The sequence below is a fragment of the Homo sapiens genome, chromosome 9 (assembly GCF_000001405.40).
Source record: "Homo sapiens chromosome 9, GRCh38.p14 Primary Assembly".
Classification (NCBI taxonomy): domain Eukaryota; kingdom Metazoa; phylum Chordata; class Mammalia; order Primates; family Hominidae; genus Homo; species Homo sapiens.
In genome coordinates this window covers 105,493,985-105,506,372 of record NC_000009.12, presented here as the reverse complement: position 1 = coordinate 105,506,372, position 12,388 = coordinate 105,493,985, and the positions used below count along the sequence as shown (strand labels likewise).

The 12,388-nt window shown below is 37.9% G+C and overlaps 1 protein-coding gene across 16 annotated transcripts in view, besides 2 other annotated features; it reads right to left on the bottom strand.

Moving 5' to 3' along the window:
• FSD1L (fibronectin type III and SPRY domain containing 1 like) overlaps window positions 1–12,388 on the bottom strand; it is a 110,257-nt gene that overhangs the window by 46,061 nt on the left and 51,808 nt on the right. Inside the window, exon 1 of one of the 16 annotated variants that reach the window (XM_011519080.3) lies at window positions 5,610–5,725. The exons of the other annotated variants lie outside the window; for them this stretch is intronic. The gene's annotated coding sequence lies outside the window, so the exon portion shown is untranslated. Of the gene's footprint in view, window positions 1–5,609; window positions 5,726–12,388 lie in introns of those variants that run through there. 16 annotated transcript variants of the gene reach the window in all.
• Window positions 5,657–5,706: an enhancer, noted in NCBI's record as "active region_28740". NCBI's record gives its function as "activates an Ori minimal core promoter by ATAC-STARR-seq in GM12878 lymphoblastoid cells {active_cell/tissue: GM12878}" and the evidence as "EXISTENCE:reporter gene assay evidence [ECO:0000049][PMID:35858748]".
• Window positions 5,717–5,836: an enhancer, noted in NCBI's record as "active region_28739". NCBI's record gives its function as "activates an Ori minimal core promoter by ATAC-STARR-seq in GM12878 lymphoblastoid cells {active_cell/tissue: GM12878}" and the evidence as "EXISTENCE:reporter gene assay evidence [ECO:0000049][PMID:35858748]".

Sequence of the window (12,388 nt, the reverse complement as noted above, 5' to 3'; positions counted from 1 at the left end):
TCATTCATTCCTCATTTATTACAACACTAATCAAATATTGATATCACATTTATATCATTCAAACTGCTTTTTCATTATGCTTTTAAACTGTTCAAAAGTAGATCAGATTAAGCAAAAGGAAAGCCCATAAATGTAAAATAACTATTTTCAAAGTACACACACTAAGGATAAGGAATCGAGAATAACTTGCTACTTCTGAACACATTATATTTTTAATTGATATTTCAAATAGCTGTAGAATATAAATTAAATCAATATTAACAAATAGAATAAATTGCTTTGAATATAATGACTGAAATAATTCAAGAGTGTATTTTCCCTCTTGAATGTATTTTAAAATCTTGTTTCCCAACCCTGCAAAATACTTAAGGATTTTTAAATGTTTCTCCCAAGAGTTCTACAGTTCATTAAAATAAACTGAAGTAAATGAGCCACATTTAAAATGTATGAACATTAATTTCTTTTCCATGAAAGACATATTTCATAGCTTTTTAACATTAACACATGATCCACTGACATAACAAATGTAGAACATGTTCCTCCAGTGATACGGACTTGTCTGAACTGGGTGAAACTATGCAGTCCAGCAGCTACCAGATTTAAACATTTTACTGCTAAAGAAAAGAATTCAAAAGATTTATTCCTGGTATGCAAGGCTAGTTAAACATTTGAAATCAATTAATGTATTCTATCACATCAATTGCAGAAAAATTATATAATGATATCAATGAAACAAGAAAAATACCAATTATAAAGTAAAAAATAAAACTCTTTGTGGATGACATTACTGCCTATGTAGAAAATTCAAAAAACAGGCCAGGCGCAGTGGCTCACACCTGTAATCCCAGCACTTTGGGAGGCCAAGGCAGGCAGATCACGAGGTCAGGAGTTCGAGACCAGCCTGACCAACATAGTGAAACCCCGTCTCTACTAAAAACACAAAAATTAGCCAGGTGTGGTGGCATGCGCCAGTAATCCCAGCTACTCATGAGGCTGAGGCAGAAGAATTGCTTGAACCCAGGAGGCAGAGATTGCAGTGAGCCGAGATCGTGCCACTACACTCCAGCCTGGGCAACAGAGCGAGACTCCGTCTCAAAAAGAACAAAACAACAACAACAAAAAAACAACAAAGAATAAAATTCCTGGAACTAACAAGTGATCACAGAAGGGTTGCAGGATATAAGAGATGAATAAGCGGAACAGAAAGGAACTTTAGGGCAGTGAAATTATTCTATATGGTAATATAATGGTAGATATAAGACACTATACATTTATCAGAACCCACAGAACTGTTTAACACAAAGAGTAAATGCTAATATAAAATATGAACTTTAGCTAATAATGTATCACTGTTGATTCATCAGTTATATCAAATGTACCCCACTAATGCAGAATAGTAATAACAGGGGAAATTGTATATGGAGGAGGTAGTGGGTTTATGGTAACTTTCTGTATTATCATGCTCAATTCTCCACAAATATAACCCTGTTCTAAAAAACAAAGCAAAGTTGGCCCTCTGTATCCACGGATTCAATCAGCCTTGGATCAAAAAATATTCGGAAAAAATAAAAATAACAATACAACAATAAAAAAGTTTAAAACTACAGTATAACAACTATTGACATAGTGGTTACATTGTATTAGGTATTATAAGTAATCTAGAGATGACTTAAAGTATATGGGAGGATGTGCATAGGTTACATGCAAATAACCATTTTTTAGGGACTTGAGCATCTGTGGATTTTGGTAATTCAACGAAGGTGCTAGAACCAGTCCCCCACAAATACTGAGAGATGACTCTTGCTAATTTTTTTCAAAACCACAACAACAAAAGAATTACATATTAAAGTTAAGATGCAAAGCAACATGAGAGCTAACAAATAATAAACCCAGTAAAATAACACCAAGATGGAAAAATTTGACTTAGAAAGGATGATCCATTTCCACTAACTAGAGTCTTCCCAAAGTTAAATTCTACATGTGTAATTGTACAATAAATACTTAGAATTGGATATAACTTATTAGTAAGACAACTGACAACCAAAAAAGCATTTATTATTTGTCATAACCATGAGTTTCCTTCATCTGTCTTGTAGGATTTCTGTCCTTATAATACATATTTGGTAGTGTCTACTACTGAAACATAAGAATTGTAGACTATTCACTGCCAAGAGAATAAAGAGACTATAGGCATTCATGAATTTAATATGCTCTGCTATGCCTACATGTAAGGAAATGTAAAGGCCTATGGCCTGTAGCAATGTGAAAATTTTGCTGAGTCATAAATCTGCAACTGAAAGTCCTGAGAGGTTGGTATAAAAAAAGTCACTTAATTGGTGAGTAGGACTAGTTAGCACCCTGCTATCTACATCTCAATTCAGCTGCCATTCTAGTAAGACTGCACTGGCAGGCAGATTCTTCTTTCTTGTGAATAATGGTCCCCAAAAGAAAGTCAAGTGACAAAATGGAAACTGAGGTTAAAAAGAAAAAAAATAAGAAAGTGGTGACACGTGGGAGGGACAAAGATATTTAGATAATTTAAGAGTGGTATGTCAAATTTAGGTTGACTTGGAGCTAACGTGGGAAGTTCACTCTAGATTCTATATAGAAGTAAGAAAACAATTCATCAAATACGGCATACAAATTCAGGGGAAGATGAAAGATAGTGTACTTATAACATATAAATATTACTTAGGCAAGGCAGAAGTCTTTGGAAGGAAAGCAATCCACACATCTACCTACATACTTCCATAAAGCAACAGTGATGAACTAGCAATAGTGTAGAAATTAGTTGAAGAATTTGCTAAATGTTTTCTCTGCACCTGAATGTAAAAGGTAAGTGGCATCAGCATTGCCAGACTTATTTTCTTAGCTCCAGAAAGGAGAAAGGATATAAAGTCAAAATTTCAATGCATAAGAAATGGCTAAGAGTAGATAATGACTTTGTAATTGTCATTGATCATCGTCACTTCCACTGTTAAGACTCAGGTATGTCCATAACTAATATTACTACATATAATGTACTATAGGATACATTATAGTGGCATTTATGGAATTAATAGATATTTCTTCATTTTATAAGTTAATTTGATTCCATCTTATAGAAAATTTTTATGCTACAGAATATTAAAAATTAGAGATTTAAATGCATCCTTCATGAATTTTTAAAACCTACTACATTTTTCTGCTGGGCATAGTGGCTCATGCCTGTAATCCTAGTACTTTAAGAAGCTGAGGCAGGAGGATCACTTGAGCCCAGGAGTTTGAGACCACCCTGGGCAACAAAGTGAGACCCCATCTCACTTTGACAAAAAAATCAGAAAAATTTAGTTGGGTATGGCGGTGCATGCCTGTGTGGTCCCAGCTACTCAGGAGGCTGAGGCAGGAGGGTTGCTTAAGCCCAGGAGGTTGAGGCTGCAGTGGTTGTGCCACTGTACTCCAGCCTGGGCAACACAGCAAGACCTTGTCTCAAAAAAAAAAAAAAAAAATCTTATTACAGTTTTCCTTCTGGACGAAACTCCTCCAGAAAAAGGTTTCTTTTTTTTTTTAATCATACCTCATTTTACCAAAAAGGGAAATCCTAACTGTTCATGCAATCTATTTGACTGTACAATAAGCATGGTCTTGGTCTGTTAAGCCATTGTTGAAAGCCCAAAAGAAGGGAAGAAGTAAGGTTGAGAAGACGGCGTTTTAAATCATTTTTTTTTATCAAAGTAGTAGTAATATCTATGTGTATGTGCACTCTCTGTCAGAATGCAGAAGTGATGGGAAACCTAGATAAAGAAAATGAAGATGTATACACTGGATTTTAGGGGAGAAAAGTTCTACTTACAACAGAAAACATTATGGGGGAAAAATGTTATCATTGGTATCAGTCATTCACATGAGAAAACTGAGAAGGGGATAGAAAACAGTTAAAGCCTCAACTGCTATAAATCAACACGTAAATTCTCCAAGTATGAGTAAAAAAGTGAACCTAAGATAAATACAAAGTAAAATATACAATTTCAAAGGCAACAATCAAAGTTTTCTTCCTAAGTTAAATAGAAAAGTAAAAACGAATAATGGTAGTAACAACAATAGCTATCATTTATTGAGTGCTTTCCATATTAATCCTTACCATTACAATACCATAAACTTTATATTATCATTATCTTTATTAGGGGCTCAAAGATGTCAAAGTAACTTGCTCAAGATTGCACAGCTAGACAATTAAAGAAGAAACAGGATTTAAACATAAGCAGTTTGACTTAGAGACAACAGCCTTTACTATTCTTAAAGAAAGGCACTCTAAGCTAAGGCCATATATGTTAGTATATAAAAATATATAAAATCGAAGAGCAGTAACATGCAGAAAGATATCTGAATAATGATAAAAAGAAAAAAATATACATGAAAGTTAAACTATCTGGCCAGGTGGAAATGAGTGATCTACAAAACTAACACAAAGGGATGAATGATAGGAACCTAACTGACCTGGAAAACTAAAGGAACCTAAAGGCAGAATCTCTGAAAAGTTCTGAATTTGCCTTATTGATAATTTAATAACCTGGAAAGTACAGTCTGTGTTTGGTAAACTAACTTTTTTGGACCTAAGTATGACCAATAAGAAGAACACAGATGTAAACGCGGAAATGATGGCTGGGTGCAGTGGTTCACACCTATAATCCCAGCACTTTGGGAGACTATGGCTAGAGGATGGCTTGAGGCCAGGAGTTTGAGACCAGCCTGAGCAACACAGTGAGATCTCTATCTCTGCAAAAAAAAAAAAAAAAATTAAAAATTAGCTGGGTGTGGTGGCATGCACCTGTAGTCCTAGCAACTCAGGAGGCTGATGCAGAAAGACCGCTTGAGCCAGGAGTTAGAGGCTACAGTGAACTATGATGATGCCACTGCACTCCAGCCTGGGTGATAGAGAAATACCCTGTCTCAAACAATAAAAAACTGTAAACGATGGGAACTTTAGAAATAAGCAACAGTGTCACCTTAAAGAATTCATGAAAGCCAGAGCAAGAGGACACAATCTGAAAAAAACTTCAAAAATTTCAAATAGAAAAGAAGAGGACTCATATACTATCATAGACTGCTATAACTATCATATAACTACCATACTCTGGAGGGATCCTATGATAGCAAAAAAAAAAATCCCGCATAAAACAATTTTATTGTGTTATATTGCTGAGCTTTTATAAATAAGGCAGTGCTTCTCACCTTGAATGTGTGCAAAAATAAGCCTAAGTTACTTCAAGTCCAACACTAAGACTCTTGAATCAGAATCTGCAGTTGATTTGCATGCACTTTAAAGTTTGAGAAGCACTGGTCAATATCTTCTGATGAATGGATTCCCTTTACAACACTGGCTTCAAGTTATTGTCAAGCTTCTTACCGAATTATTTTAGTGATGGGAAGAGTTACTATTTCCTAAAATTGATCTTGTCATAGTTAGTCAGTTGTGGCTATTAGAAAAGCCTTTCTGATATTATTAAGCTGAGTTTTCTCCATAAAACTACTCCATTTGGAAATGAAAGGGAAATAAACTATCTCAAATGCTTGAGATTATAATCCCTTGGCAAAATTTTTATTTAAATTTTAATTGAAATTGTACTTACTTAAGGAATACAGCAGAATGTCTGAGAGTCCAGCTCCAAGGAGACCCAGTCATAGGAGTGTCCCCACACATTTGTGAGTTTTACCTCCAGGAGCTTACCAGGTTCTCACCATGAATAACTAACAGAGAAAAATCCCCTTATGCTTCCACAGCAGGGGGAGGAGAAAAGGAAGTATTTTGAAATACATCAGAGTTTCTGTTCCCTTAAGAGAAACTATTTAATCATAGTCTAATCTGTTGGGGTTTTAACAGAGACTAAGTGACCTGGGGAAAGGGAAATATCCAACTCCAATGAGCTACTCCATGTGGGCAAAGGGAAATACCCAGACCAACCCCAGCCCACTCCAGCCATCCTGTTCCACCGAAAAATCCAGGAATAAGGAGTGGGGAAAACTGAGAAGTCCCTTGCAAAGTTCACGGTCCAGAGGCACAGGCTCACCAAAAGACTGAGACCTAATTATGGTGCTACAGAATGCTGCCCCTCCCACACACCTTACTACCACATTAATAAAGGCCAGTTTACATCAGTTTCTTTAACCCAATACATGTCTGGTCATCAAGAAAAAATTACAAGACTCAGATATGGCAGAAATGCTGGAATTATCAGACCAATAATTAAAAACAGCTATAATATTCTGAGGGCTCTCATGGAGAAAGCAGAGAGCATAAAATGGAGAAAGTAGACAGCATAAAAGAACAGATGGGCAATACAAGTGGAGCGCTAGAAATTCTAAGAAAAAACCGCAAAGAAAGGCTAAAGATAAAAAGCACTGTACCATAAATTAAGAATAATTTAATGGACTTAATAGCTGACTGGAAAGAATCTTTTGAGTTTGAAGATCTCTCAATAGAAACCTGCAAGATGAAACAGCAAAGACAAAAAAGATTGGAAGAAACCCCACAGAACAGAATATCCAAAATTTACTGTGGAAGTACGAAAGGAGTAAATATGTATAATGGAAATTACAGAAGAAGAAGACAGAAAGGAACAGAAGATATATTTGAAACAATAATGACTGAGAAAATCCCAAACTAATATCAGACACCAAACTACAGATCTAGGATGCTCAGGGAACATCAACCAAAATAAATGCTCCCTGCCATACACACATAAACAAAAACTGTATCTAGGCATATATTCAGACCACAGAAAATCAAAGACAAGGAAAACACTTGAAAGAAGCCAGGTGGGGGCGGAGGAGGGGACCTTACCTATAGAGGAGCAATTCTGTATACCTTGAAATTATCCTTCAGTAGTGAAGGAGAAATAAAAACTCTCTCAGACAAATAAAAATTGAGGAAATCTGTTGCCAATAGACATGCTATGAAGAAATGTTTTTAAAAAGTTCTTTAAAGACAAAGAAACAAAGAGCAATGGAGAAGGATAAGTGAAGGTAAAATAAAAACTTATTTTTCTTATTCTTGACTGATCTAACCAGTAACAGTTAATTCAAAACAATAAGGGCAACTATTTATTTGAATGTGTGTGGTGTATCTGTGCTTACACATACTGCTGCATAAGTGAAATAAATGACAACAATGATACAAGTGATGGGAGAGAGGCAGAAAATCACTAAGTACATGGTTGAACTCAACAACTCCATCAATCAACTGCATGTAATTGATATCTACAGACTACTTCAACCAACAATGGCAGAATATACATCCTTCTCAAGCTCCTATAGAACATTTGCCAAGACAAAGACTACATTCTGGGCTGTAAAACACACATTAACAAATTCAAAAGCATAGAAATCATGCAATGATTAAATTAGAAATCACTTAACAGAAAAAGATATATAGCTGCAAAGTCCCAAAATACTTTGAGATTAAACAACCCACTTCTAGCATGGGCGCGGTGGCTCATGCCTGTAATCTTTGCACTTTGGGAGGGGGGCGGATCACTTGAGATGAGGAGTTCAAGACCAGCTTGGCCAACATGGCGAAACCCCATCTCTACTAAAAATATAAAAACCACACTTCTAAACAACACATAGTCAAAGAATAAATCTCAAGAGAAATTTTAAAATATTTTGAACTAAATGAAAATGAAAACACAACTTATCAAAATTTGTTGAATGCAACGAAAATAGTGCTTAGAGGGAAATTATAACACTGAATGCACATATGGTCATGAGCCATAAGCCATATAACAACATTTTGGTCAATGACAGACCACATATACAAAAGTGGTCCCATAAAATTACAATACCATATTTTGACTGTATTTTTTTCTAAGTTTAGATATGTTTAGATACACAAATTATTATCATTGTGTTACAACTGCTTACAGTATTCAGTACAGTAACATGCTGTACAGGTTTGTAGCCTAGGAACAATCTGCTATATAATATAGCCTAGATGTGTAGGAGACTATACCATCTTGGTTTGTGTAAATACACTCTATGATGTTTGCACAATGACAAAATTGCCAAACATCACATTTCTTAGAATGTATCCCCACCACTGACAAATGATTATATTAGAAAAGAAGATCTAAAACAAGTAATTTAAGCTTTCGCCTTGGTAAACTAAAAACAATAATAATAATAATAATAATAATAATAATAATAAAGCCAAAGCAAGCAGAAAAGAAATAATGAAAATTAGAACAAAAATCAGGTTGGGTGTGGTAGTCACACCTGTAGTCCCAGTGCTTTAGAAGGCTGAGGTGGGAAGATCACTTGAGGCCAGGGGTTTGAGACCAGTCTAGGCAACACAGTAAGACCCCATCTCTACAAAAAAAGATTTAAATTAGCTGGGCATGGTAGCACATGCCTGTAGTCCTAACTACTGAGAAGGCTGTGGCAGGAAGATCCCTTGAGCCCAGGAGTTCAAGGCTGCAGTGAGCTATGATTATATAACTACATTCCAGACTGGGCAACTGAGCAAGACTCTATCTCTAAAAACAAACAAACAAAAAACAAGAACAGAAATCAATGAAACTGAAAAGAGGGAAATCAATGGAAAAAAATCCTGAAAGCAAAACCTGGTTCTTTGACAGATCAATGGAATCAATAAATAACTAGTATCAAATAACTAGTATCAAAAATGAAAGAGGGGGCATCAACAAAGATCCCATGGACATTAAAAAGCTAATCAAGGAATTCTGTGAATAACTCTATGTCCACAAATTTGATAACCCAAAAGGACCAATTCTATGACAGACACAATCTGCCAAAACCCACAAGGAAAACAGACAATCTGAATAGGCCTCTATCTATTTTAAAAATTGAATCGATACTAATAACTTTCCAAAACAGAAAGCACCAGGCACAAAAGTGTTCACTGGTGAATTCTACCATACTTTTCAGGACAAAAGTACACTAACTCTCTACAATCTCTTGCAGAAGAGAAAAATAGAGAGAATACTTCCTAACTCTTTCTATGAGGCCAGCATTACCCTAATACCAAAACTGACAAAGATATTACTCCAAAAGAAAACTACAAACCAGTATGTCTCATAAATTAGATGTGAAAAATCCTCAACAAAATATAGCAAATCAAATCCAACAATTAACAAAAAGAATTATACCCTTGACCAACTGGTATTTATTCCAAGTATGCAGGCTGGTTCGACATTTGAAAAATCAATGTAACCCATCACATCAACAGGCTTAAAAAGAAAAATCTCACAATCATAAAAATAGATGCCAAAAAATGCATTTCACAAATTCCAACACTCATTCAAAATAAAAACTCTCAGTGAAATAGGAACAGAAAGGAACTTCCTCAACTCAACTTGTTAAGAAATAGCTACAAAAAAAATTACAGCTAACACCATACTTAATGGAGAGAAACTCAAAATGTTTCCACTAAGTTCAGGAACAAGGCAAGGATCCCCCTCTTTCTACTGCTTCCAACATAGTACTGGAAGTCCTAGGTAATGCAGTACGACAATACAAGGTATTCAGGTTGGGAAGAAAGAAATAAAACTGTCTTTGTTAACAAACAACATGATCATCTAGGTAGAAAATCCAAAAGAATCAACAAAAAACTCCTGAAACTAGTAAGTGATTGCAGCAAGGCTGCAGGATACAAGGCCTACCACTTTCCTGTATACCAGAAATGAACAAGTGAAATTTGAAATTAAAACACAATACCATTTACATCAGCACCCCCAAAATGAAATCTTTTGATACAAATCTAACAAAATATGTTCCATGTTTATATGAGGAAAACTACAAAACTCTAATGAAAGAAATCAAAGAACTAAATCAATGTAGAGACATTCCAATGTTTATGGATAGAAATACTCAATGTTCTTAAGATGTCAGTTCTTCCCAATTTGACCTACAGATTGATTGCAATCCCAATCATAATCCCAGTAAGCTATTTTGTGGATATCAATAAGATGACTCTAAAGTTTATATGGAAAGGCAAAGGATCCAGATAAAGGCAACACAGTATTGAAAAAGAAGATCAAAGTTGGAAGACTGAAACTAGTCAACTCTCAGACATAGTACGGGAGGCGGAGCTTGCAGTGAGCAGAGAGATTGTGCCACTGCACTCCAGCCTGGGCGACACAGCGAGATTCCGACACAAAAAAAAAAAAAAAAAAAGCTACAGTCATCAAGACCTGGTACTGGTGAAAGAAGAGACAAATAGATCAAAGGAACCAAAGGCAAGCTTCATGAAAGAAACAGTAAGATAGGCTAAACATTATTAGAATTAAAAATCTTGCTCTGTAAAAGACATCGTCAAGGGGAAAAAAAGCCAGACAGGGAGACAATATTTGCAAAAGAAACATCTGATAAGGACTACACAGAATTCCTTTTCTTTTTTTTTTTTTTTTAGATGGAGTCTCACTCTGCTGCCAGGCTGCAGTGCAGTGGTGCAATCTCGGCTCACTGCAAGCTCCGCCTCCCGGGTTCATGCCATTCTGCCTCAGCCTCCCGAGGAGCTGGGACTACATGCGCCCATCACTACGCCCAGCTAATTTTTGTATTTTTAGTACAGAGGAGGTTTCACCATGTTAGCCAGGATGGTCTCGATCTCCTGACCTTGTGATCTGCCCGCCTCGGGCTCCCAAAATGCTGGGGTTACAGGCGTGAGCCACCGCGCCCGGCCCAAAGAACTCTTAATATTCAACAATAAGAAAAGAAACAACCCGAGCTGGAGCCAAGATGGCCGAATAGGAACAGCTCCGGTCTACAGCTCCCAGCGTGAGCTACGCAGAAGACAGGTGATTTCTGCATTTCCATCTGAGGTACCGGGTTCATCTCACTAGGGAGTGCCAGACAGTGGGCGCAGGACAGTGGGTGCAGCGCACCCTGCACGAGCCGAAGCAGGGCGAGGCATTGCCTCACTCGGGAAGAGCAAGGGGTCAGGGAGTTCCCTATCCTAGTCAAAGAAAGGGGTGACAGACGGCACCTGGAAAATCAGGTCATTCCCACCCCAATACTGCACTTTTCCGACGGGCTTTAAAAACAGCGCACCAGGAGATTATATCCCGCACCTGGCTCCGAGGGTCCTACACCCACGGAGTCTCGCTGATTGCTAGCACAGCAGTCTGAGATCAAACTGCAAGGTGGCAGCGAGGCTAGGGGAGGGGCACCCGCCATTGCCCAGGCTTGCTTAGGTCAACAAAGCAGCCGGGAAGCTCAAACTGGGTGGAGCCCACCACAGCTCAAGGAGGCCTGCCTGCCTCTGTAGGCTCCACCTCTGGGGGCAGGGCACAGACGAACAAAAAGACAGCAGTAACCTCTGCAGACTTCAATGTCCCTGACAGCTTTGAAGAGAGCAGTGGCTCTCCCAGCATGCAGCTGGAGATCTGAGAACAGGCAGACAGCCTCCTCAAGTGGGTCCGTGACCCCTGACCCCCGAGCAGCCTAACTGGGAGGCACCCCCTCCATAGGGGCAGACTGACACCTCACACGGCCGGGTACTCCTCTGAGACAAAACTTCCAGGGGAACGATAAGACAGCAGCATTTGCGGTTCACGAAAATCCACTGTTCTGCAGCCACCGCTGCTGGTACCCAGGCAAACAGGGTCTGGAGTGCACCTCTAGCAAACTTCAAAAGACCTGCAGCTGAGGTCCTGTCTGTTAGAAGGAAAACTAACAAGCAGAAAGGACATCCACGCCAAAAACCCATCTGTACATCACCATCATCAAAGACCAAAAGTAGATAAAACCACAAAGATGGGGAAAAAACAGAACAGAAAAACTGGAAACTCTAAAAACCAGAGCGCCTCTCCTCCTCCAAAGGAACGCAGCTCCTCACCAGAAATGGAGCAAAGCTGAATGGAGAATGACTTTGACGAGTTGAGAGAAGAAGGCCTCAGACGATCAAACTACTCCAAGCTACAGGAGGAAATTCAAACCAAAGGCAAAGAAGTTGAAAACTTTGAAAAAAATTTAGACGAATGTATAACTAGAATAACCAATACAGAGAAGTGCTTAAAGGAGCTGATGGAGCTGAAAGCCAAGGCTCGAGAACTACGTGAAGAATGCAGAAGCCTCAGGAGCCGATGCAATCAACTGGAAGAAAGGGTATCAGCAATGGAAGATGAAATGAATGAAATGAAGCGAGAAGGGAAGTTTAGAGAAAAAAGAATAAAAAGAAATGAACAAAGCCTCCAAGAAATATGGGACTATGTGAAAAGACCAAATCTATGTCTGATTGGTGTACCTGAAAGTGACGGGGAGAATGGAACCAAGTTGGAAAACACTCTGCAGGATATTATCCAGGAGAACTTCCTCAATCTAGCAAGGCAGGCCAACATTCAGATTAAGGAAATACAGAGAATGACACAAAGATACTCCTCAAGAAGAGCAA